We start from the raw sequence: 27058 nt of genomic DNA on the forward strand, positions 1-27058 counted from the left end.
TCTCAAATTCAGCATTATCCAGTCTAAGTAACACTATTACAATAGTTTAATCCAAATAGGGTGTGCCAAGCTCAGAAAAGTTCCCTTCCAGTATCTCCTTGTTAATTAATGAGTCAAGATCTCTTACAATGGGGTTACTCTTCCTCCACTAAAATCTTCAGACTCCTTTACAAATATCCTCTTCTTCAACCAGTCCTTTTAAGGAGGGAGGAGCAATCTTCCAGTAACTTCCCACTGGCTGGAAGGAATGGTAATTTCCACACAAAAGACAAAACCCTATTGTGTGAGTGATAACTTCTTATAGCAACTAAACTAAAGCCATGTAACAAAGCCCTGATACAGGGTGAACTTTTTGTCCACCTCATCTCAGAATCATCACATAATTCTTCACTTTGATTTCCTCTAGTGTGAAAAATCTCTTTCCACTGGATGAGACTACAGTTTCTCCTGTATGTTCACATGTCTCCAGGAACTCACTCTATGCATCTGTCTGTTCAAAAGGCATTGCTCAAGAGTGAAGGTTACAGGTGTGAATGGGCTGACTGCCAGACCTCATGTGTCATTGATCCCAGAGTCATTCCCTGATACATTGCCCCATCAGTCTTCTTTTTACTCAGAAGTTCAGGATGACCATTCCTTAACATCAGCCTGGAGAAGTGGTGTATCCCCCAGCTTAGATGCCTATTAACTAGCTCTGGAGCAGAGAGGCAGCTTTTGCCACCAGCTCCCCATAGGCTAGCAAATTGTTTAACTCAACAGTCATTTATTATTTTATTTGTTCATAATTACATATTAATTAATGCTATTTACCTCAAGATTTGTTCATCTTGATTTGTCTTTTCTTTTCAGCCTGCCCAGTTTCCCAAGCCTTTTGTCTCTAGATGAGGGGTAGCTTTCTACTAATTAGCTATTTAGTGTTCATTGAGTAGGCGCAATCCCACAACAATAACCAGTTCTTTTCTTGCATTGCTTTCAAGGCTCATATCTGCATCTGTCTTTCAAATGTTATAAGCTACACCCCTCCCTAACTGATAAGCACTAGTCTTGACTTACACACATCTATGACGGGTTATACCAGATCTCTGTTTCTCTAAACAACTCTAATACAGAGGTCTTGCCTGAACATTTAAAAACTGAGTAGCTAGTAATAATCCTAGCAGGTGTGTACGCATGTATCAAAAAGGTTGTTTTGTTCCCCCTCCTAGTAAGATTGCAGCGTTCTTGACAAGTTCAATAAAATTGGTTATTTCTCCCTGTTTCCAAGTTCTGTTTAGACAATGGCCAAGGAAAGCCACGAACTTACTATAATCCTTCACTTTTCAAATGAGACTCTCTGACAAAAATTGTCCTGCTGTGTCCCTGAAGTAATAATATTTTTTTAAGTTTCAGAATACATATATTGGAGAAAAGACATCTGCCAGAAGAACTGCTTTATTTCCTGCTCAAGACAATATTAAGTAGTGATCAGATTATTATCTGGGCCCTCTAATAATGAATTATGTGCTAAATTGCTGCACTGTCCCAAAGATCTAAGAAGAAATTAGAGACCTTGACCTGTCCCCCACTCCTCATATCCTAGGATGGGTGGAAAAAAAAGAAGTTGCAAACAGACAAGCACCATGAATATGATCATGACATCTTTTCCCTGTTATGATGAACTGCCTTTCTGTGATAGTCCCAAGATAATTGACATCAATTTTGGCCAGTCTTAACGTCTCCTTTCTCACTTGCTACACTGAGAGTTGGGCTTTTACTCTTCAGAGAGATTGGAAAGTGATTAGCACACACATGTTCTTAAGACATAAGATAAAGAATATCTTATTTTCTACCACATTCTTTATTACAACATATAAATTATTCTTACAATAAGGTGGTCTGAGCCTTGCTCTGCCAGGCTTTCCCAGTGGCAGTTTTCCAAACTCATCAATTCATAGAATTAAGTACTGTATTACGGCCATTGGCCAGAAGTAGGCCAGATGTTTTTTTTCTCCCAAGATTCTCTAAGGGCCTCTATCCTATTCCTCCCTTGGACTCTTTGTTTAAATTTTGAACAAATGAGGGAAATGATCTTTAATTCACAATAAATATTTGTATTGAGCTATTATCAAGGCAAAAAAAATGAAATTATTTCAGCAGCAACATAATACTATAAAAATGGCAAGATTTGTTCCAAGAATCACAAGGTTCCAAGGCGGCTCAACCTAGGGACTCTAACCCCTTCTGCTTAGAGACTAACTGAAGTTTTGAATTATTTGTCGACTTGTTTGATGTAGTTGCCTTGGGATAGGTCCATGTGTTTTTCAAATCTCTGGCCTCTTAATCTTGTAAAACTGGATAATTTTGAAAAGTATTTTTCCTTTTCCATTTGATCCAATTATTGTGATCCATACACCTATTCCCAGCCAGTTGGCCAAAGAATAATATTCCTGACCTTTCTTTCTTTAGTAATAATTTATATATAGTAAAATTCATAGGCCATAAATGTACAGTTCAATGAGTTTTGACAAACATATATGCCTATGTTACCATCATTCAGGTTAAAATATTTCCTTCACCCCAGTTCATACTCATCCCTACCCTGGGGCAACCAGTGTTCTGCTTTCCGTCACAAAAGAATAGTTTTGACTTCTCTAGAATTTCACATAAATGGAATCACACGTTGCATTAGTTATCTATTGCTGACTCAGTTTTTATCTACTAGACATCACTTGTGCATTACTCCAAAATTTAGTGGCTTAGAAGAGGGACTTATCTCACAGTTTCTGTGGAATCCAGGCATGGCTTAGCAAACCATATCTGGCTCAAAGGCTATCATACAGGCTGCAATCAAGATGGTTAGCTGGGGCTGCACTCATCTCAAGGCTGGATGAGGGAGGATCTGTTTCTAAGCTCACTCATGTAGCAGTTGGCAGACGTCCAGTTCTTGATGATTGTTGACCAGAGACATCAGTTGCTTGTCACAAGGGCCTCTCTAGGGGATCAAACAACACGGGTACCTGGCTTCCCTCAAAACATACGAGAAAAATAGAGTTCCAAAAATGGAAGTCACAGTCTTTTTTAACTCAGTATCAGAAGTGACACCCTTTCACCTCTGCTGAATTCTACTGGTAGAAGTAAATCACCAGGAACAGTCCACAGTTAAGGAAAGAGTATTACACAGGGAAGTGACATCCAGGAGGCAGAGATCATTGGACACCATCTTCAAGGCTGAATGCCACGTGGTATCAATGCTTTTGTGTCTGGTTTCTTTCATTCAACGTATTTTAAGTTAATACAATGTGTTTGAATATAGTAGCAAGATATCAGTTTTCATTTCTTTTGTATTTATATCTACTTGTAGAATTACCTGGTCATAGGATAGATGCTGTCCTCAACTTTATTAAAAACTACCAGACCAATTTCTTACTTCTTGCTTAGTAATATATGTGAATTTCAGTTGTTCTACAAACTTGCCAACACATTTTTGTCAGTCTTATAGTTTTAGCCATTGTGGGTATCTCATTGTGGTTTAAATTTGCATTTCCCTGGTGACATTATGTTTCATTGTGTTTGGAATTTTCTCTGATGGCTATTGATGTTGAGTAATTTTTCCTATGCTTATTTGCCATTTGTAAGTACAATTGGGTTGTTTGTTTGTTTTTTATTGTTTTGTAACAATAATATTTACTAAATGTTAATGAAAATTTATTTATTATGTATAATATATACATTATTTAAATGTTTATTAAAAGAAATTTCAGCCTGGCCAACATGGTGAAACCCCATCTCTACTAAAAGTACAAAAAATTAGCCGGGCATGGTGGCGGGCACCTGTAATCCCAGCTACTTGGGAGGCTGAGGCAGGAGAATCACTTGAACCTAGGGGGCAGAGGTTGCAGTGAGCTGAGAATGCGGCATTGCACTCCAGCCTGGGCAACAAGAGTGAAACTCCATCTCAAACAAACAAACAAAAAAAATTAAATTTTGTGCACTTTGAATGGAATTATGTTTTATTTGTTAAAAACACAACTTGAATTTTCCTTTCTATTCCTCCTTTTCATAAGAACTGTGAAAGTCCTTGTTTCACAGGCTGAATTTATAGGTAGAAAGAAGAAGGCAAAATTGTCTTCTCTAGAGCATTACTATCTAAACTTTTAAACCAAAGGACCCTTTAAAGTTTTGTTGTGGTTGCCAAGGTAAAATTTATTGTCATGAAAGACAAAGGCCCAGCTCTGCAAATGACTCAAAGGTGTGGGAAGTTTCAGCTGCACCTGGGCCAGAACTGACTAAGGCCTGTTACGTCCACAAGTGACGTTACACATTTAGGAGCATTGTCATCAAGAGGAATCGTTTTGAACTTTGGCTGCCTGTTGGTGTCTCTTGGGGAGCTTTTAACAAACACCAACCACCAGGCCCCACCTCAGAATCCACCTCAAACCAATTACATCAGAATCTTTGGGGATGGGAGCTCTATATTGTATGCTTTATGTTATTTAAAAGCTTCCCTGGATACTCTAATGTGCAGGTCAGGGAGGCAATTCTTGTTCTAGATAAATTATTCTCAAAATGTGTTTCCATAACCATTAGCATGTGCACCACTGGGAACCTGAATGTTCTTTACTGACTAAAATATGATGACAGAGATATAAGACCCACGAAATGATGAGACCAATTTTGGAAGAATTCTGGTCTCTGGGTTTTTGTAAGAAGATGTTTCTTAAATAACCCTTTTTAAAGAATTGTTTTATTTTGATTTAGAAGCAACGTCTCCATTCACCATTTCTTAGCCTTCTTTGCAGCACTTATATAATCCGTCTAATCTGTGTTTTAACAAGAAAGGCGTGGATCTACTTTTGCATACTTAATGAGGTCCTTTCATGGTAGGCATCACAAAATGTACTGTAGTTCTACCCCTTGTATTGCCTGGACTGTTGTTATCTGTACTCCATTATTCTCACTCGCAACATCTCTCCTTTGATTCAAACAAGTTTCAGTAGAAACCTACATCAAGAAAGTATTTATCCCACATACCCATTCATGTCCAGATCTTTCCTATCTTTAGTGAAAGATTTATGGCTGGAAAGCATCTAATGGTTCTTTTTCCCATGTGAAGGAAAAGAGTATTTATTCTAACCCCTGGATGTTGATGTTTTATCTGGCTTCCACATAGACTATACTTGCCATTAAGATTTTCCTCTGCTTGCAGTAGACAAAACTCTCACAATTTACTTTGATGTCCACAGTCATTAGCCGGAAAAAAAAGTCCCCACATTATTTTGGTATTCTTTTCGTACTTGGATAGCCAAAATAATTATCTAAGGCTTTAGTAAACGTGGAACAAAGAAGGTGTTTCGACTGTCTTCATACTAAATGGGGCGATACAATACCTTATTAGTCAAGGGTTTATGCCAGTCTTGAAATCAAACCCTACTTCTCTTTGAAATAGTTCTATTCATCTCTACTTAGAGGTTATGGATTTTGTTTTTGTTTTGATTTGCCCTAATTTCTTTCTTTAGCTCACACTTTGATTACTTTTTTGTCTTTCTAGCTCACACTCTCAACTGGAACATTAATAGTGTTATCGGGCCACATGTAATTAACAACGATGACTGCATAATGCCTGAAACAACAATTTTCTGACACACCTCTTTTAGGAAGACCAAACAGCCCTGACAACTGAGCTAGTTTAAATAGCCTGAGAAATGGGTATTTTAGAGAGGTTTCCTGGGAAAGATTTGCTGAGATACCAACTTTGGTTGGAGACTTGAATGATAGAAGAGATTGATGATCTGGAGTAAAAGCATTCTAGCCTGAAAGAACTGCAAGTGTAAAAGCCCTGTCCAAATAGCTGGGTATGTTCAGAGAACATAGAGAAGCCCACAAGTGCTGGAGCAGAATGAAGTAATGAGGGGTACTAGAACAAGAAGTAGAAAAAAAAAAAGATAAAAAACAACTCAATGGCCTAAAGAGGTTAGGTTTTGTTTTAATCTCATCTGTTCTTAAAAGCCACTGAGGATTTAGAGGGTGGCATGATCTAATTTATACATTTTTAAAATCACTTATGGTTGTTGCAAGAACACAGGTTGCAGAGGGCAACAAATGGCAGATGAAGTAAAACTTGGATTTGTAATATAACGTGAAGTTAGACCTCACAGGACGGACTGGGTTATAGATTGGAGATGGATTGTGAGAAAAAGAAAAGACTAAAACTAAAGGGTGCCTTTCAAGGGACTTGGACTAATTGTGTGAATAGAATGAATAAATGGGGAATATTGTGAGTGAAAATAATTTGGGCTAAGAATCAAGGGGTTTTATTTGAACACATGAAATTTGAGATGCCTATTATAGATCCCAGTTGGGATGTATTATTTAAAACTTTGGGAGTGGAAGAGAAAAGCTCGGGAGTGAATACAGACAGAGGTCTTTGGTACTCCAACTCCTAGAGTCGGGAGGGCAAGAGGAACCAGCTTCCCCAGACTAAGAAGAGCAGCCAGTGATTGAGGAGGAGCATCCTATGAACATGGTGTCCCATAAGCCAGAGGACAGTTGGTCAACAAGAGGAAGTAATTAACTCTGGCACAGTCTTTTGAGGAGTCAATCAATTTGACATGTATAAAGTCATTAGTGATAACAAGAAATTAAGTTTTACTGGAGTGGTGATGAGAAAAATATGACTGTGGAGAGCCAAAGATAGACTAGGTAAAAGAATGAAGAAAACAAGACAGAGGCAGATGTTTCTCAGATCTTTGTTCCCTCACGCCTGTCACATCTTGGTTCTCCTGAAAGCAGAACCTAAAACACAGATGTGAGTGATGCTACTCTATTGGGATGTAAACCCAGAGGCAGAGGCAGAGAATGGGAAAATATAAAAATCAATAAGAGGTGTGTTATTGAGCTGATTTATGCCATGGGTATAATCCTGTGGGTAATATCCTCTAAGATATGATGTAGAATGCATCTCAGAGCTGTATTCTGAAAAAAAAAATTTATTACTAAGTAACTCTGAGCTGCCCAAATCTTTCAAAACAGCACGTATTTATTGTCCACAGTTTTTGTATATCAGAAGTCTAGGCATGACGGAGCTGGGTCTTCTGCTTGAGAATCTCACCAGGCATTGGCTGGGCTGTGTTTTCATCAGGAGGCTCAACTGGGAAAGGACTCACTTTCAAGCCCAGTCATGTTCTTGGCAGATTTCCTCTTGCTGTATAACCAAAGGCCTGCTTTCTGCTGGCTATTGGCTGGAGGCCACTGTTTAGCCCTACAGGCCACCTGGAGTTTCTAGAGGATTTTACCAGGTGGACTTTCTTAACGTGGCTGTTACTTCCAAGCTAGCAAGGAAAACTTCTTCTCCAGTCTTCTAAAATAGAGTCTTATATAACGTAGTCACAGGAATGATATCCTCTTACTTTGCCATGTTCTATTGATGAAAAGCAACTCATAAGTCCTACCAATGTTTCAGAGAAAGAAAATTACACAAAAGCATGGATACTAGAAAGCAGGAAACCACTGGGGGGTCTGCTCAACAAACTGGAAACCAGGACACATATTCATTGACTCCTGTTCCCCCTTGTTTGAGAGTGGGCCCTGAGGAACAATAACTCTTCTGACCTCTGGAGCCGTACCCACACACAGACCAAAAGACACTTCACAGGTGCTGCGGGTGGGCACTGGCAGCATAAAAGGAGCCATCAGCCTCAGCTATGCCACAACCCGGTGAAGAGGGGTTGTGTTGTGCCACACAAAAGAGATTTGCTACAGTGTCATAAAGGGAACTGGAGAAAATAAAAAAATAGCTGAAGTGCAACTTAGTAAAGAAGTTTTATTCACATGAAAGAAGCAAATTGCATAGTGATTAAGAATTCAGACTCAGGAGCCAGACTGCCTAGTTCAAATATTGATTCTGTCGCATTGTATTGTCACTCTGAGCTAGTTATCTAACCCTCTGTGCCTCAGTCCATAAAATAATAAGAAAAAGAATTCCCGATTTGGGTAAGAATAAAAATAAGTAACAAATGTAAAATTTTACAACAGGATATGGCACATAATAACTACTAATGTACATGATACCTATTATTTTTATTAGACATTTCTGTTTATTAATAAGAATGAGCTAAGCAAAAGTGAATAATTAAAGATGTAGGAGACAGAGGAAGCAAAAGTTCATAGGAACCAATGTAGTAATAGAGTGGCTGCCTTAAATAGGAAGAAAGTTTATCCAATGAGGATATAAGTCAGTGTATATGGTACAGATGTTGATAGTCTAGTATTGTTGGTGGTGGAAAGTTAAGGGAGTTTTCTTCTCCTATTTTGTATGTGAAATCAGGAGTAAAGTGAGGAAGGCAGGTTAGAGATTTGAGAAAAGGGTAGGTGTAAAATAGAAAATTGACTAGGTCAGTGTTTTGAATTGTTGACTCTAATCCACTATAAGAAATATTTCTAATATTTCTAATATTGTGAACTCTTCTGCAATTCATATATACAATCTGGACCAAATGTTTTGTGAACAATACTTACTATTCCTATGTCTAATATACTCTGACAATTTCTATTCTCGTCTTCTAATTCATTGATAATGCATGTTGTCACCTCTGAAATTAATCTTATGTCCCTCCACTGGGTTGTGTCTCACTGTTTGCAAAATCCCTGAACTTGGGTAACAGGGTACAATTGTGGGTCAAGAATGAGAGTTCCAGGGCCCCATGTTCCAGGGCTCAAGTAAAAATCACAAAGTAGGTAGAAAATGGTGTTTATCAAGTAATGGGGTCTTGCCAAGTGATTACAAAGGAGGGGAGAAAGCGGAGGGAATTGAGAGTTATGGGACAATGGATGAAAACAATGAATAAGTAAATTTAAGCTGAGAAAGGAAGAAAATGAGATCAATGAGCCTATGAAGTGATAGAGCTTTCCAGTTTTGCTAAATATTTGGAATAGGAGTGCTAGAGTAAGAGAACTAGAAAGCTAACAGGAAGTTTTTAGAGATTATGATGCCTGAAATTTCAATTTTGGATGTGGTACAGTTAGAGGCTATTGGAAATTCAAAAATACAGGCATGAGAATAGATAAATGAAAGGAGATGGTGCAAAAAGGTCTTGGGGTTGAGCTATCAGAGGATTTGGATGGTTACATTTTGAAGAAAACAGAGCGGATTGGTGAATTACATAAAAAATAGTGCACTAGATGCTGAAATATTTAATGAATGAGGAGGAGTATCTAAATGTCTATTAATTTCTAGACACCAATAGGTGTCTGCAAGAAGGTATGATGGGTGTTGTGGTCAAGTGGCACTCACACCAAAGAATGTGAGACTTCTTTTTTGGAGAGGAGGGAGGAGGAATGGTCCTCATTGCCAGTGACAATGATGAGGGAGGAAGACATCTACCTGTCCCAGGAATGTGGGAAGGAAAAATTGGCCACCACTTGATAGGTCTCTGGGGAAAGTGGGTGGCCTGAGGGGTTTTTTTTCACTCAAGAATAAGAGTAACAAGGTGAAGAAAATGGTCAGAAAAGAGATTAAGGGTCTAGGGTGACTTTTTTGGATTCAGACTATGAATTTCAGAAGGCAGAAGGAAGCATATGAGGGCACAGAAATGGATGAAAGATTAGATCATAAATCTCAGTTTGTCCTGCACAGTCATGGCTTATTAATGTCATTCCAAGGTATCTGTTTCTTAATAGCACCTTGTTTCATTCTAAAAAGTGTTCTACCTTGGAAGTTAAATTATATAATCACCATACCCGAGAGAATAAGAATTTCAGAGACAATGGATAACCTGAGAAGTTTAGATTTTTGGTTGTACAAGTCATGACAGGAGTAATCCTGAAGAGCTCTTAGAAAGTTTGAGAGTAATGTGTTCTAATGCCAGCCCTTTTCCTGGGGTTGGTCCCTTAGGCAGCTGTGAAGTGGTGATGGGAGATATGTGCTCCCTGATCCTGGTCTTTGCTTGTTGACATTAACATAATAAAAGAGAGTAGACAAGCACTTTGTGTATTTAATCAATGTTTATCCGCTGCCTCCTTTCTTAAAAGAAGGTTTAGGAAATTTAAAAATGTAAAGTAGATAAAAATAATAAGGTATCAGTGAGGCAACTGAGATACATTAATTGCTATCATTGAGTCTTGAATTTTGCTTATTATTTCTTGGCTATTCAGCCAAAGTAACACAGTTTTAGAGCAACATCATTTTCATTGCTCAATAAAAGAAAATATGAAAGTCCATCTATAGTGTTAAGCTTTATCTTAGCATTGTATTAGAATGCTAAGAGGACAATTAGGTGCAACATAATGAATCTAGTTTTCCAGTCTGCTTTTTCAAAAGCTTTAGAACATTATTTAAATGTGCTGTTCCAAGATGAAACATATTTTAATGCAGAGGGCACAAATGCCTAATCCTCAATCCCTTTCTCTTAAAGAAAATGTTTAGAAATGTTAACGTTTTAATTAAAAAAATGATTAAAACTGAAAGTGTTGCCTTTTTTTTTCTTTTCTGCTTAAACCTAAAATGTATTGCAGGGTTAAAATTATTAACGTTATTCTTGGAAGAAATAGCATATCTAATTATAATTGTAGAAAATGAAGTTGTATCTGCGAGTTAAATCCTGCTCTGGTCTCCAGGAAAGCATCCAAATTATTTCATCATCCTAGACCTTATTGTTTACAGCCGTGTGAGACTATGAATCCATCAACCATACAGAGGGTTTCAGGATTATTTTTATTATGTAGAAGCGTTCTTATAATCGTATGTATCTTCATAAGATTTCTATGTGTTAGGCAACAAAGAGGAATTTAAATTAACTGATGATTGTATAAAAATTTTGTGTGAGTTGCATTAACATAACTGAAAATGACTGGTATTTGGGATTTTCTTTCTTTTATTTTTGCAAAGAAACTTCAACCACCATAATGAGGACAACTAAAACAGGAGATTGTCTGTATTGCCCTCATTATAAGACAGTATCTATTGTTTCTGCTTCCTATTTCACTGCATGCCTATCGAATCTGTAAACTTCTGATATCCTTCCAATACATTCTCTCACACTCCCGAGATAACCAAATTTGCCTTCTGTTGCCTTTGAGAAGCTTTGCTATGACATAAGTATGTTAACTTTGTGTTTGCTATGACATAAGTATGAAACACATTATTAACTCTGTGTTTTTCTGCTAGTTTTCTTACTAGAAGGCATGTAGTAACTGCATTATGTTTTTAAAACTTTTGGGTTTAGATTTGTATTTCTTTCAGATATCATACCGCACTGAGATTGACCTTTAAACTGGAATAAGTAGGACTTCGAACACCACTAAACCTGTATCAGCTCTTCTAATAGGAAATTTCTGCAGAAAGGGAGAGTTATTGTGAAAAAAAAACTTATTGTCTTTAAAATGTTAATTTCATCTGCTGCAGTATTACTAGTATGATAAAGATGGTTATTAATGACTAGAAGTATGGCCGGAGGTTCCTTTCCCAAGTGCTCACTTTTGTTAATCCTATAATTCAGATTCAAATGAAATAGGCTGTGTCCCATTCCCTGTGTGGAGGGATATTAGAGTGCTCCCGGACTGTCTAGGTATTCTAGACAGCCTGTTGTAGTTTTCTGCCTACACACCGCTCTGATCTCTTCCTTCCTCTTGATTAACTCAATTTTCTGTTACATATTCCTAGAGAGCTCCACCCGATTCCACACTGCAACACCCCAGGTGTGAAATACAGCCTCCATTTCTTGTTTTCCACAGAAAGCCCCATGCACATAAGGCATCTAAGTGAGTAGCAAACTTATTGAAGTTTGAGGCAGTGGAAAGAAAAGATCTTCCTCTGAAAACTCTGGACATTTGGTGGAGTCACACCTCAGCAAAGGACTTAAGTTAGCCCTAAAGTCTCCACCAAACCTGCCCTAAGAAAACTTAAGAAGAAACCTCAAAAGGACTCAATTTATTTGTTTAATAAATAACTTAAACTGCCGCCGGAACAAGGCTCAACAAGTAACAAAATTGATTTTGTTTATTATAATAAGGTAAAATTCCCAATGTCCAGCACTAACTTGTTTACAATTTTAAAACAAGCAAGCTTTTGACAGCTTTCTTCCCTGAATGATAACAGAAACTCACAGTACACCTGGCTCCCCACAGGAGGACATTTGCCATTGATTCCAAAGGAATTCTGTAATGATGTAAATGTGAAGGGATTGGGACATCTCTTGCTAAAAAAGGTCACACACACACACACACACACACACACACACGCACACGTAATATTTGTAAGAACATTCCATTACAGATTTTTTGTGGCACTTTTTAATAGTACGTCTCCGTGAACATATTATATCACTTCTGGGACTACATATTTTTGAGAGCAGAGGCCATATCTTACATACAGTAGATACCAAATAAATTTTAACACCGAACATTTACATAGAACTATGTTCTAGCAATTTTTTAAAGCAGATGAGGAAACTGAAGACTAGGGAGGTTCAGGTTACACAGATGGTTTGTGGTAGAGCCCAGATCTGAACCTTGCCTGTTGGGCCCCAAGGGACCCAAAGTTCAGGCTCTATCCCAGACCGCTCTGTTAGGTTGCATGGAGAATGCGATGCATTGTGCAAAGATTAACTGTGATTGTGTCTACTACAGGAGAAATAAGGAGCAGCTTAGCTTGCTAAAAAGTGAACACATTTAATTGGTTTAAACTTGCATTCATTATGCAAACTTTGCTTGAAATATTTCATTTGACAATTCTAGTAAATTAATACCTATTCTTAGTCTAGATAGTGCATAACAAATTACTGACGACAAATCCTAAGTGCGTTAAAGTAAAATTTTAAGACCAAAAGCACATGAATGCACTCAGTTATGATAATGTGAGATGATACAGTATTTTCTTTTTGCTTTCAATTTAATCATTTACTGTAAATATAATATGTTCAGTGAAAACTTTATTTATTAAAGCTAAGATGAAAAGGCTTTTCTTCACAGGCCTGTAAGCTCCCCAAATTCTAAAGCCTGTGAGTTTTTCTTGCTCTGTATTTCATTTACATGAACTTTTCCCTCAATGTTATAAATTATAAATGCTTGTGGTAAAATGAAAACATGGAAACACACAATGAATAAATATTTCATTTACCGAGGATTTATCACTCAATATCTTAGTGTATTACAGATAGTCTCATATTTATTTAAATGTGAGATTATAATAATTTGGAAACCTATCCTAGTTTTAAAATACTACTATAGTTTATGTCTTTTCCCATTTAATTAAAGTTTTCAAAATAAAATGATTGCATGATATTCCATCATCATATCACAATAGTGATAGCTGCTGGTTATTGATATACTGATGAGCCAAGCAGTAAGCTAGGATCTTTATGTGAATTATATAATTTATTCCTAATTTGTCCTTATTTGATATGCTAGAAATTTGAGGTTTCTGTGATTTCCCAAGGTAACACAGCAAGAACAAAGCTGAGATTTGGATCCACGTCTTTCTGACTGCGAAGTCTGTGTGTGATCATTGTTTCCATTGTCCTCAATTATGGTACATTGTATCACAGTAATGGATCATACATCATTTAATTACTTCCCTGTCATGGAACATTTAGTTTATTTTCAGTTATTCATATATTTAATGCCACTGAGACAAACATCCTTGCATGTGAGTAGAATCTTTACACTATTCTCTTACTTCTTTTGGATAAATCCCTTTTACTTGATTTCATTGGTAATTCTGCATCACATCTTGTGTATATTGACACCCTCTGCTCCTTTCACCTCTGGCTTTCTGAGCCTCTCATTCCCTATTGGTTAACTCATGTCCTTGGTGCCTGGGAGTTTTCCAATTGGCCCTGTTCCCAGGGGAACACTCCTTAAGCTGAAAAGTCTCGTCTCTACCCTCATCTCCCATCCCTGATTCACAGGCCCCTCTGAAGCTCCTGGCCGCCACAGTCAGTGAGCATTACCTGTTACCCCACCTGACACAGGTCCCCACACAACAGCACAGTGATGCCAAACAGTTGCTGCCTTCTGGACAGTCACTTGTTCCACCTGCTGTTGACCTTTCTAGTTCTATTTATCTCTGGAGATTTGGCAATTCTGATTTTTAAAAATATATGCAACTTACTTTGCATACATCTTCTTGACTAGCAGCATTTATGTGGCAAAACTTGTTAATTTTTATTAAATGTTTTCTGTGTGGCTTTGTTCTGCATTCCTACCTTAAGACTATTTCTCTCGTTCACATGCATGTAGAAAGTAGAAACCACAGGGAACAATGTACATTCTGAAATGCTTAATTTGCAGACATTGTGAAATTTTACTCATCAATGTGTTTCAACTCTTTGGTACATTTCTAGCATTTTGCTTAATATGTTTTATATGAAAAGGCAAATTTTAAATACTTAAGTTTCATAAACCACCAAATAATCAATAAACCCAGTTACTAAAACCCTAACGATTGTCAAACTTTAGAGTAAGAAAAAATGACCTAGAAAATGTATTGAAAAGTGAAGGCTTCTATACTTTTCCCCTACTAGCCTGTTACTCCTGTGACTGATTCATGAGGGATCTCTATTTTCAGCAACACCAGGGTGATTCTGATGCTGATGGTCAGTGAAACACACTCTAAAAATTATACAAGCGAATATATCAGCAAGTTTGCCTTCATATTTGTTAACTGAAAAGCAGTGAGTGTTCTGCTCTGTCCTCTCCCTTGAATCCTAACAAAATAAGTAAACAGAAAAGATGTGGCTAGCAGAAACTCCACAATTCTAACCTCTCAGCTATGCCCAGATTTTCTGTAGGGATACAAAGGTACAGTCACAAAGGGAAGAGAGAATGAAACAAAACAGCCCTTGCCATTTCCCATGCACCAACTATCACTCCATACGGAGGCACATCAGTGAGTATCTCTTCTTTAATCTCACGTATACCTAGAATTTAGGATATACCAAATGGCTTGAGAAGAATATGCTCCAAATCCATGACACAGTAAAATTCCTCTATAAAACAAGATTTAGGGTGTGTTCTTTTAAATTAAAGTGCTCTGTTTACCTGACTAGCTATTTCAAAGCTCTAGCTTCTTTTTGTTGCCTGTTTTTTAGCATTATGCTCTTTTGTTTTACCTTAAGACTCTATATTGCATGTCTTATTTGAAATATCTAAAGTTTAAAATGCAGCCTCATAATGTATCTATTTGCTTAATTTAAAACATTTAAGCAAAAGTAATAGGTTCTGCTTCTTAGCTATTGATGGGATAAAGAACACAAGGACAGGTGGGGAGAGAAGAGCTTCTTGGAAGAAAGATCAGATCCTACTTCTCAAGATTTCAGTCCTCAAACCTAGAAAACCAGAACTGGTGAAGAGGAAATAATAAAGGGGGTCATACAACTGATCCCCTCTCCCCAGAAAGCAAAACACATAGGTCTGTCCTACATGTCCTACGTGAGAAGAGCAGGGCTGGGAACTACCTCTTACGTGTTATCTTCCAAGTGACATTATCAGTTCACAGCACAATATAGGCATTGCCTCTGAGGCTCATTGCTATGCATTTCTTTCCCTATTCTCTACTTCTTGTGTGAAGATTTTCTTCTCTCAGGGCACACATGAGCACGGTGGTTTCCTGTTACAGAATGTTCTCCCAGCCTAACATGGAAAAAGCTCGTAGATGTATGCCACTTTCTTTGCTTTGTGGTTTCTCAAGATATTTTTTGAAGCAAGGCCTGACTTACAACATTTTATAAATAACTAATGGGAATTTTGGCAAACTCATAAGAATCATTTCTTGAATTTCTAAACATAAGTGGTTTTTAGTTGCTTTTCCTCAGGTGGTTAGAGAGTGGCCTTTTGGTTAAAAAAAAAAAATTCACTGCAGTGTTTGAACCTGGCAATGATGAAGTGACAGTCGCAAACATAATTTTCACATTGGCTAAAAATTTTCAAGTTGAGAAAAAGAATTCTTTAGGCAATATGCAGTCTGATCTTAGCCAGGTACCTAACACACATGTGCATTTATTCATTCATCCATTTATTCATCACACACCAAATATATTCAGTGTCTACTGCTCTACATGTTAGGCATACAGTGGTCAAGAAGACAGAGGAGAACCCTTGGGGGTTACATTTCAATATGGGGCAATTATTGGTGGCTACAAGTAGGTTCGTGCAATTATTGGTGGTAGGATTTGAGCTGGCCTGAACCACAATATTCAGACACTACCCCTTCTGTCTGCCCCTCTCACTATCCCAAGGGAGAAGGGATTCCAAAATCTCAACACTTCACTTTCCTGTATTAAGCTGTGAATGCAAACAATTGTTCTAGTCATTCAATGTCTTCTGAGGAAAAACAATTCAGTGCAGAATCTAACATACACCATGTCTATCATGTAAAATTTATGCCACAGAAAATTAGTATGTGCTGAGAATAAAAAACCTAACTTTTATTATTTCTCTTTTTTCCTTTATGACCTGGGCAATATAATTTGATGAATCAAAATTTGGCCAGGCACAGTGGCTTATGCCTGTAATCCCAGCACTTTGGGAGGCCAAGTGCTGACAGATCACTTGAGGTCAGGAGTTCAAGACCAGCCTGGCCAACATGGTGAAACCCTTTCTCTGCTAAAAATACAAAAATTAACCAGGCGTGGTGGTAGGTGCCTGTAATCCCAGCTACTCAGGAGGCTGAGGCAGAAGAATTGCTTGAACCTGGGAGGCAGAGGTTGCAGTGAGCCATGATCATGCCACTGCACTCCAGCCTAGGTGACAGAGTGAGATTCCGTCTCAAAAAAAAAAAAAAAAAAATTAATGGCCAGAGTTGTATAGGCATGCAATTGTGAACACCTTTCTTGGTCCTTAGTGTCCTACATGAAAGAAAAGAAACACACACACAAACCTGTAGATGAAAACTTTACAGCCATGTGCTCTAGACACACAAATGTCTAGGCGGTAGTATTTTTACTAGATCCTCAAAAAGTAATATTTTTACAAAGAAAGAGACAATGAGTAAAGACATTGTAAAAAGAGAACTAATCATGAGCAAGGCACAAATTGAAAAATGAAGGATACAAGGAGATTGGGGAAATTAGTACAGAAGGTCCTCAACTTAAGATGGCTCGATCTGATATTTCAACTTTATGATGGTGTCAAAGAAATATGCATTCAGCATTCTCCTACACTTATGAGACTACATCCCAATAAGCTTATTTTAAGTTGAACATATGGTAAATGGAAAATGCTGTTTTGATTTGTAATATTTTCAATTTACCATGGGTTTATCAGGATGTAACCCCATCATAAGTCAAGAAGCATCTGTATTTAAAAGTGATTTTGTGTTTAGAATTTATCCTCTAAAACCCTATAGAAAGCTCTTAGGCAGAATGGCATGATCATATCTGCTCTTTGATGGCCCTTGAAAAAAGAGAAGAGGGAAGAAATTGGAAGCATAAACACCATTGGAGCTGAGTGATGCTGAAGATTTAATCTGGGGTACTGGCGGGGGGGAATATTGATCAGGAATGAAGTGAAGAGTGGGAACAGCTGACATAGGGTACACCTCAACCTCATGAATGCTTGGATTGGGAGTAGCAGAAGCAGAAGTTCACTCACTAGTGTCCTGAAGTTCTTTCACATCATCTGAAGCTTTTTAAAAACATGCATTATGCACTTACTATGTGCCAGGCATTGTGTGATGTGTTTTACAGGCATTAGCCCACTCCTTACATCCACCGTGTCTTGACTTGCATTCAAGTGTGTGGGTGGGGAGAGTGGCTGATTCATCTTGCACTTTCTCATAGAAGCACAGTCCTTCTAGTCTCTGTTTTAAAAGGCTACATATGACTGCACTGGGAAGGCATCAAATGACTACAGTACAAACAAAGTATTTAATGAATGAAATTGTGTCTACAATTCTCAAAAGTTTGGCAGTTTTTGGCAAAAAATAGAGGATGCTATGGAAAGAAGAGAGAGGAATCAAGGATTCTCTGTTTCAAGCCTAAGTAAGTGGAAGAAGGGCACCATTGTGTAAATAACTCAGGAGAACCTGATTTGATGTGGTAGTATGTGTTTGTCTTTTTGCATGAGTTTGAAGTGCTAGGTTAACAGGGGGCTCGCAGGGGAGCTGATATAAGAGCTGTAGGTTTATACGGATATCAGGTAACTTCTTAGGGCTTTGAATATTTAAGGAGGTGAAAAACAAGATGATTCTAGGCACAAAGAAGGGAAAGCATTTTATTTTGGAGATGATACTAAAGGGGCTGATCAGAGCAAAGTCAGTTGTCAAGACTTCAATCTGGAGTCCAGGAATGGAGATGGAGACAAAAGGGAAGCCCGTAGTCAAAGTCAGATTTGGCAAAACAGAATTGGGATCCAAGATAAAAACAGTCTTAAGATGGGAATAAAGAAAAAGTAATGATTACCAGGAGCCCCCAGACACACACTGCATGGAACAGAAGATCTTGCTGCTTTTCATTTGCTGAAGAAGCACCAGCCATTTCTTCGGGAAACTCTTTATGATTTTGCCTCCTCGAGAATTTTACCTGCCTTTTCAGTTAAGCATCAAGATTTATCACACTGACTTCTGGCTAGGGATGAATAAGATGTAACTTGCTGAATACCACAAATGAGAGACCTGGAAGCTACTATGAGCCATGAAATTCCCAAAGGCCATCACTGGTGAAATACTGGTCGGGCTTCTGGGAAAGGTGAATAAGAGCATCATGGCAAGATGTCAGCAGTAAAGCAGAGTGGAGACTGAAGCTAAATTGTTCCCAACTCAGGCGTTCTCTGCTCATAGAACAATAGCAGTGGCTAAGGTACATGATTGAGTGCTAACTCTATGCCAACTCTTTTCATGAATTAACTCTGACAAAGCCCTGTCAAGTAGACTCCTCTACCCTCCTCAGTACAGGTCCTATAAGTAAGGAAACTAAGCACAGAAAGCTTAAGTGACTTCTCAAATCCCACAGCTAGTAAGGATAGAGCCGGAATTTGCATCAAGACACTCTTACTTGGAAGTCTTAGCACTTGGGGTTACTATGACGACTGCCAAACAGCCATGACCTCCCAGGCAAGTGACTGCTAATGTCTAGCTGGACAGCTAGGGAAGAAGCCAAGGAAGGGATTGACAGGGAGAATCTAAAATACACATAATTTTCATAGGGTGTTAGAATTAGTGCCCATTTTAAGAAGCAGATGTTCTGCTTTTCATCCAATTTGAACCTTACAGTTTCACAGTGTTTCAAACCAGGCAATCCCATACGAATGCCTCAGCAATCTTTGCACTACGTATTCTGAAAAACTGAACATACAAGACCCAGTCATCAGGTGATCATTATGAAGAGACATGTTCTACAGTGAAAAGAAAAATCTTTTCAGTATCTTATTGTCTTAATTGACCTTTTGTTAACATGAAATGAATTGTACATGTGACTTGTTTAAAATCATTTATTATTATCAGGAGTGCCTTTTAGGTGGACCGCTCTGTATGACTCTCATGCTTCAAAACTATTTTTTATTCAAGTGACTTACAATGGCCCTAGGAAACAAGTTCTGTTATTATCCCCCATTTTAAAATGATGAAAATGGACAAAGCAAAAGCAAGCAACTTAACCAATACCCCATGGCCTCACAGCCTTTAGAATAGTCATATTATATAAATATGGCAATAACAATGCACTGAAAATGTCTCCAAAACAAACTCTACATTTTAAAAAATGTATAACAGGAATCTAAGGAAGGGGTCTTACTTCTCTGATTCAGGGAGTGCGAAATCCCTTAAACTCATATCAGACCTGTGATGAACAAACTCACACTAAGTTTTAAAAACTGCTTAATTTACTTTATCATGACTAGTAATATATAAGAATTTTGTATATACTTTATTAAAAATAACTTTGGAAAACTATTTTTGCCTGATCAGCAATAAAACTACTGATAAGATAAGCTGGTTATCAAATAATTCCCTAGTGTTAATCTGGCAAATAATTGTTATAACCCAATCTTGTGAATTGAAGACAGGCACATTATAGATAATCAAAAATATTAGAAACACATTTAAAATGTCCATATGTTTAGTATAAATAGAAAATTCATTGACTAAAATAAGTCATGAAACATGGACTGGAATTTTGTGAGCTATTAAGTTTCATTTTGTTTTACTGTTTTAAAATTTAAATAGTTTGGCTCATTTCTACATTTGTTAAAATTGTAATCTTAAAATATTAAAAAAATAACTTTACAAACACACAGATATGACTAGCCATTTTATCTAAGTTATAAAATAGTTACCCCAGGGAGCCTTCAAGATCCCTATATTTTAAAGCTTATTTCAAAAACCATCACTACTTCACATTTTTAAACTGCATCCTTGCATTACAGAACTGTAAATGTGTTGTCATACAGTAAATATCCACATCCCAATTCTAATTACACCATTCTTGTTGTTAACACAGAGCACTGCTTCTAATAAAAGCATGGCATAGTTCTACAGTTTCAATGGCAAAATTAAAGGTTTTTTTTGTTGAAGAGATAATGAAGCAATCACCAAGATATTTGAAACAACAAAGTTAACATTACAATGATTTCAAGAAAAACTAAGAATATATACACTTACATAAAACAAAAAAAAGGAATAATTCACTTTATGAGAGAAGAAAAGAGAGACAGATTTTTAAAATATTTGGATTCTTTAGCCCATATGGAAATTAAAAAAAAAAAAAAAACTGGAGAGAGAAACAGAAAGAGACAGAGAGAAAGAGAGAGATGCTACTTGACATTTTAAAGACCAAAAACTTGCAGTAGTAAAAATACATTCTGAAAGTATTTTAAAACTTAAATTTCACTGGCAAAAGTAGGTAACAGAGGAGACACAGATTCAGTGCAGGATTTTATATACAATAAAACCTAAAACTAAACTCCACCAAAATGAAATTGTAATAGTCAATGCCTGGCTAGAAATCTCCCTTTGCACAGTGAAAAGGTCACATTACAAGAATAAAATAATAGCAAGAATGCAGTCTACACACTTTAGATGTTCAGGAAAACAACAGTTTCCAAGCACCACATGAACACTTAATTAACTGGAGATAATGTTAAAGCAAGGTCTCTACAATTTTCCATTAGGTTGTGCTTCAAATAGTCTATAATAAGGACTTGAATTAATTACATTTTATTGCACTATAAATTGGCTGTTGTCATTATACCCAAATGTAACAAATAAGGCAGACTTTAATTTCTCTGTAGACCTCCTTGGATAGAAGATAAGTAATTTAAAAATATGTAAAAATTGAAAAATTTGTGTACTTGTTTATAGTGTCTCTCTGTAAATGTGCATTTGACCAAAGAGATTCCATCCAAATAATGAGAGAAAAACCCCCACAAATAGCATCTTCTGCTTTAAAAAATTCTTGGTTTGTAATTTTTTTTAAAAGTCATAAAGCCACTGGCTTTCAGAGACTTATTAGAACACACTCATCTCTTCATGCATGCTTCTGCTAGTGTCCTAAATTTGGGCTCCAAATTATCCAAAAATTCAAGCCCATCTTCTTCTTGTCGTTCACTGCAACAACCTACAGACCCAGCCACCGATCCTCTTCCTTCATAGTTATATGTCAGGACATAGTCTTGGGCATGCTTGTGATTTTCATCTTGATTACACAGATACACTTTCTGCCAAGGGGAAAAACACAACGTTTTTATTATTATTATTTTAAACACCAAAATTTACTAACATAAAAGTAATTGCTTTGATTTACCTTTCATTGTTTAATTTTTAATCAGAGTGTGTCCTCTAATGGATTCCTATACATAAAAAATGCACATGATTGGTCTGTTTCATACATCACACTATAAATTCAGTATAGCATGTTTCTAAAAGTCACGCATGTGGCAGCAAGTATACAGGTGTTCATTTTACATAGTCACTACTTTCCCTTTCAAAATTTTAGCTGAAAGTGACATGCATCCATTAAACTGAAGACAAATTGATATGGGCTCAGTTCTTCCCAGATAGACATAGTGATAGTACATGCTGGTCTTGCTGGTACCACATTTTTGGTTTCTAAGGTACAAGTTGTCAGATGGGAAATATTAGCACAAAGCCATGAGACAGTAATTTAAATCTCATCACACATTATTTAGTAATTCTTTCAATTAAAAAAATAGGAGGGGAAGTAAATAACCACTTAAATCTGAACATAACTAAATTAAAATTGAGGAAAAATAATAGCTTTCAATTAGTAGAATTAGTAGATTCATAATTAATTGAAAATTATAGTCAGAATCCAGTTAGTTATTTATAAAGTTTAAAGAAAATTAAAATAGATTTGTAGGCCACTTAGGAAAACTCACTTCACCAAGACGGGGCTGAGTAAAACTGTGCCACTCCGAGTAAGTGTATCTGCAGTTGTCCACCTCCGTGTGTCCTCCCCTGCAGGAGTCCAGGGTGTGATGGTGGCCAGCCCCCCGGCAGGATTCCGAGGTCTGGTGTCCTCCTTTCACCATTTCGATGGTCTCCTGACCTCCGTTTTTGATTCCTGATCCCACGGTGCCACAAACTCCCTGAGCAGAAGCGCCCACAGTTTGGGTTGTGAAGCCATTCGCAGAATACTGAAATGAAAACAATTTGCATTAGGGATAATACAGAGAGGAACACAAAATTATGAAAAAGAACAACATCAAGCGGATAATGCCTTTTTTTGTGTGTATGCTAGAAGGTAAGCTCTCTGAGAGCAGGAACTAAATCTATTTTGTGAATCCTGCATACCCAACTATGGAAACCCCATAATTTAACGTAGTAGCCACACAAGCAAACTGTCAAGTGGTTGGTACCTGGAGATAAATTAGGAAGCTTGATGTATATTCCTTCTTTAAAAATCTCTTAGAATACCTGCCCATTGTGGTGGCTCATGTCTATAATCCCAGCACTTTGGGAGGCCGAGGCAAGCAGATCACTTGAAATGAGGAATTCAAGACCAGCCTCGCCAACATGGTGGAACTCCGTCTCTACTAAAAATACAAAAATCAGCTGGGCATGGTAGTAGGCACCTGTAATCCCAGCTACTCGGGAGGCTAAGGCACAGGAATCGCTTGAACCTGGAAGACGGAGCTTGCAGTGAGCTGTGATTGTGCCACTGCACTCCAGCTTTGGCAACAGAGCCAGATCTTGTCTCAAAAAAAAAAAAAAAAAGCCTCTTAGAATACTGTACAACTCTAATTCTTCAATCCTTCCTACATCTCACACCTCAAAATAAACACTGTTGTCTCACATATACTTACTCTGCTTAGTTTAAATTAATTCCCTTTTACCTGACTAAAGCAGAAACAGAAGTAATGATCAATATTTCCATTTAGTATCTAATTCAGTTATACTTCAACTAAATCAAAAAGAATAAAACTATAATTGCCATAAAAATCTTAACTGCAACATTAAACCCTTGCCATCTAAATATATATGAATAAACTAGGCAGGGAAAATAACAAGAACACCAAAGCTTTGGCCACTAGTTATTTATGTTGCATTTTTGGAAACTCTAATATTATTTAAATTTTATTTTTTCATTACCTTCCTGGATACTGTCATGCTTTTGTTTTCTAAATCTTTCTTGCCCTAGTCATCAATTACACTTCTTATAGGGTATTTACTTGTTCCTTTTCCACATATTGAGCTAGAAAGCAAAGTTGGAGAAATGACCACTTGCTAGCATTGCTATTTCATATATTTGGCCTCAGGCTGTTTCCTAACCCATATTAGAGCCAGAAAGAATCTATTAAAGTTCTTCCCACGATGATCAAGGCTTGTAGTGATTTTATTGTTGCCAGAAAATGTAAAACCATGTTGGTAAACCGTGAATAATTAAAAGCAGCATTTTTACAGCACAAACAGCAGTTGAAATATATACAAAAGACAAGGCTTAAAGTTGAAACCATGAATCATCTGAAGTAAAAATAACAATGACATACTCAAGCATTTTTACTATTAAGTAACACACTACGGCCAAATTTAAATACCATATATCATCATGTAAATCAAAGTCATTTTATCTGTTTCAGGGGACCCATGACATTCTATGGTAAATTGCCTGATACCAAAAGAACTTTTCTGAGAAAAGATCATTTTAGAAGGAATACGCATTATAAGCGAATTCATCCTTTGTATTTATTTAAAAAGCCAGACTACTTACCACTTTGTCATCTCCAGGAGCTTCTGTGTTTGATACAATTAGGTTCTGCTGGGCTAAATCATCAGGAATTACTTTTGGTTGTTTAGACGTCCCAGAAGCCCCACAGACCAGCGTAAACAGGATGCCTGGAGGAAGAAAGAAATATACTTGAGTTTATCATAAAATAATATGAAGTTATAAATGTACAATGGTTAATACACACATAAATCATAAACTTAAAAGTGTATATTAAAAGAAGACAGCTTTCCTGGATTGCTTGTGTCAAAGCAGTATACAATAGAAAAGTTTAAATAGATATGCTATTTAAAAGTTTAAATAGCATATCTACTTAAACTTTTAAACAGATATGCTATAATTATGTTACATGTTCTGTTTCTACATTGAATTTTATGTCTATAATAACTAAGACACTAGAACTATACATAAATGCACTTAAAATATGTAAATTAAATATATTTATATATTAAATAAAAATACAGCTACATGCAAATGATCAGCTATAGGAAATAGCACTGATTCTTAGAATGTGTCTTGAAAGTTGCCAGGTGTGTTGACTCACGCCTGTAATCCCAGCACTTTGAGAGGCCGAGGTGGGGGGATCACTTGAGGCCAGGAGATAGAGACTGGCCTGGCCAACACAGTGAAATCCATCTCTACTAAAAGTAGAAAAAATTAGCTGGGCATTGTGGCGCACACCTGTAATCCCAGCTACTCGGGAGGCTGAGGCATAAGAATCACTGGAATCCAGAGGCAGAGTCTGCAGTGAGCGGAGATCACACTACTGCACTCCAGCCTGGGCTCTGTCTCAAAAAACAAAAAGTGTCTTGAAAGTTACTTTAAAGGGTATTATTTGAATTCAAGAAAGGACTTAAGACTTACAAAAGAGCAATGCTATGCCCAACAATATTGCAAGGATGGCCCACTTTCCAAGTTGTACTCCTCCACCGCCAATCCTTGGATCTACACGATGTGTGCAGTCATTTTCGGTAATGCAGTCACACAGTGTAACATCCAATGAAGTGACACTAGACATGCCAAGTCTATCTCTCACTGTTATAGGTACTACATATGAGCCAAATGGAGGATCATTCTGATAGGAAAGACGTGCTGCTGTATCTGAAAATATAAATAAATAAAACCAAACATTATACAATGTCACTGATTTCTTCTGAACATAAATAACTCATTATCAGATAGTTATATTTTCCTAGAAACAGATATTCCTGATGGGATGGCATAGCTGCTAGAAGATTCTAAATGTGAATGGCTAGAGTAGTTCTAATCTATACCCATTGCAAACATATTACATATAAAAGTTTGTCTATGCTGCCTCTTAAACAAAGTCTTTTGGCTCTTGTAATAATATATTTTATTTGTGTGTAAACAAATCCTTCCTATCACAACTAATAGACTTGTTAATAGATTAGTTTTTACCATATCTTGAAAATATTTAATTAAACCAGTGAGTGTACATTTTCTTTTACACATGCTTCATCGAAGTAATAGTCTGAAATTCTGGATGTTTTCCTTTACTTCATTTTCAAAAATTGTGCCAAATAAACATAAATACTTGTGACTTACTGTCAGAGACTAATTCTGACAACTTAAAACACCCCTGACAGTGACTACATTAGCAGGTCATGAGTCACACAGCTGCAGCTGCATCTCCTGGTCCTAAAGGACAAAGGGACCAACTGCACGTGTCTTAGTTTTGATGTAGTTTTCTTAGATAAAGGCTAGAAAATATCTAGAACCGAAAGCCCATACAGATTCTTTTATGGCTTTTATGGTGCATAAGCATGATGATAGGGTTTTTATGCTCATGTGTGAGACACACGTCTCTCAAACCTTATTACGACAACAGTACATTACCTGTATGACTTGAATTTAGAAGAAGAAAAAAACAATAAAAAACTAAAAAAAATTTAGAAGCCAATACAATCTTGGTTTTGGAGACTAGATATACTACTACTCTAAATGCAGATACCAGGTCCCATAGAATAATCCCTCTCCCACATAGCTGCCCAGTATGACATTCTCATTTTCTGCATAGTATTTGAAGCTCTAAATACAAATTTGAATGCTTGGGTAAAAACACATTGAATTAAGTCCATCTTAAGAGAAGCCATGGTTAACCTGTTAAGTCTATTTTGTAAAAAATTATAATGAGACTAGCAAAACCAAAACTTATAATTCCTAATGTGTCATGGTGTATTACATGCATTATCTCATTTACTCCCCCAAAAATCCCATTTTAGTAAATTGATGCTCAAAGACAATAAATAGCACGGTCAGATTTACTTAACTAACAAACAGGGAAGAACCAGCGTTTTTGACACTAAGCTTAACTGACTTCAAAGCCTCTTTAGGGTATATTCTTCTTAAAACTTGGGTGTTTCCCAAGCTTATAAGTGATTACTCAGACAAGTACATCTTTAAAATAACAAAGATGTTGACAAACATACAGCTGCCAAAGTTTTATTTTGCTAAGTAAGACTATTGGGAAAAAAAAATGTCCACTTTCTATCAACACTATTTAAAAATTAATATCATGACACCAAATAAGTAGAAAAGAAAAAAATCTAAGAATAAAGTTAATTCTTCCTCCCCACCCCAAAATAAACTGATAACCCCGATACACACACACGCACACACACACACACACACACACACACACACGCACACACAACAGAATATTGTTTAGAAAGCTGAAAATCTTGTTAGTTCACAGAGCAGGATCCAAGACATAGTAGTTTAGCTTATTTCTATAAGTCTTCATCTTTCTTTTCCCCATCCTGTTCTCCCTTTACGTTCCCTCATAACCTTTCTTTTCTAATTTGTCATAACAGGAAATTGAGGGATATTCACTGAAAGCATGGGGCTGAAAAACATTCAAGGGCATTTAAAAAGCAAGCCTCATTCAG

The 27058-nt window shown here is 36.9% G+C and overlaps 1 protein-coding gene and 1 pseudogene across 4 annotated transcripts in view; one reads left to right on the forward strand and one right to left on the reverse strand.

The window, feature by feature from the left end:
• Positions 12249 to 27058, reverse strand: part of DSC2 (desmocollin 2) — a 43582-nt gene continuing 28772 nt past the window's right edge. For 2 of the 4 annotated variants that reach the window (NM_004949.5, NM_001406507.1), the window contains exons 13-17: positions 25014 to 25250; positions 24135 to 24259; positions 22303 to 22560; positions 21708 to 21753; positions 12249 to 21621 (exon numbers count right to left, since the gene is read on the reverse strand). In NM_004949.5, coding sequence (NP_004940.1) covers positions 21718 to 21753; positions 22303 to 22560; positions 24135 to 24259; positions 25014 to 25250 — 656 coding nt within the window. In that variant the 3' untranslated portion in view covers positions 12249 to 21621; positions 21708 to 21717. The remainder of the gene's footprint in view (positions 21622 to 21707; positions 21754 to 22302; positions 22561 to 24134; positions 24260 to 25013; positions 25251 to 27058) is intronic. The other 2 variants (NM_024422.6, NM_001406506.1) reach the window with 1 other exon arrangement.
• LOC124904377 (uncharacterized) lies at positions 25904 to 26016 on the forward strand (annotated as a pseudogene).

Source organism: Homo sapiens, chromosome 18 (genome assembly GCF_000001405.40).
Source record: "Homo sapiens chromosome 18, GRCh38.p14 Primary Assembly".
Taxonomy (NCBI): Eukaryota; Metazoa; Chordata; class Mammalia; order Primates; family Hominidae; genus Homo; species Homo sapiens.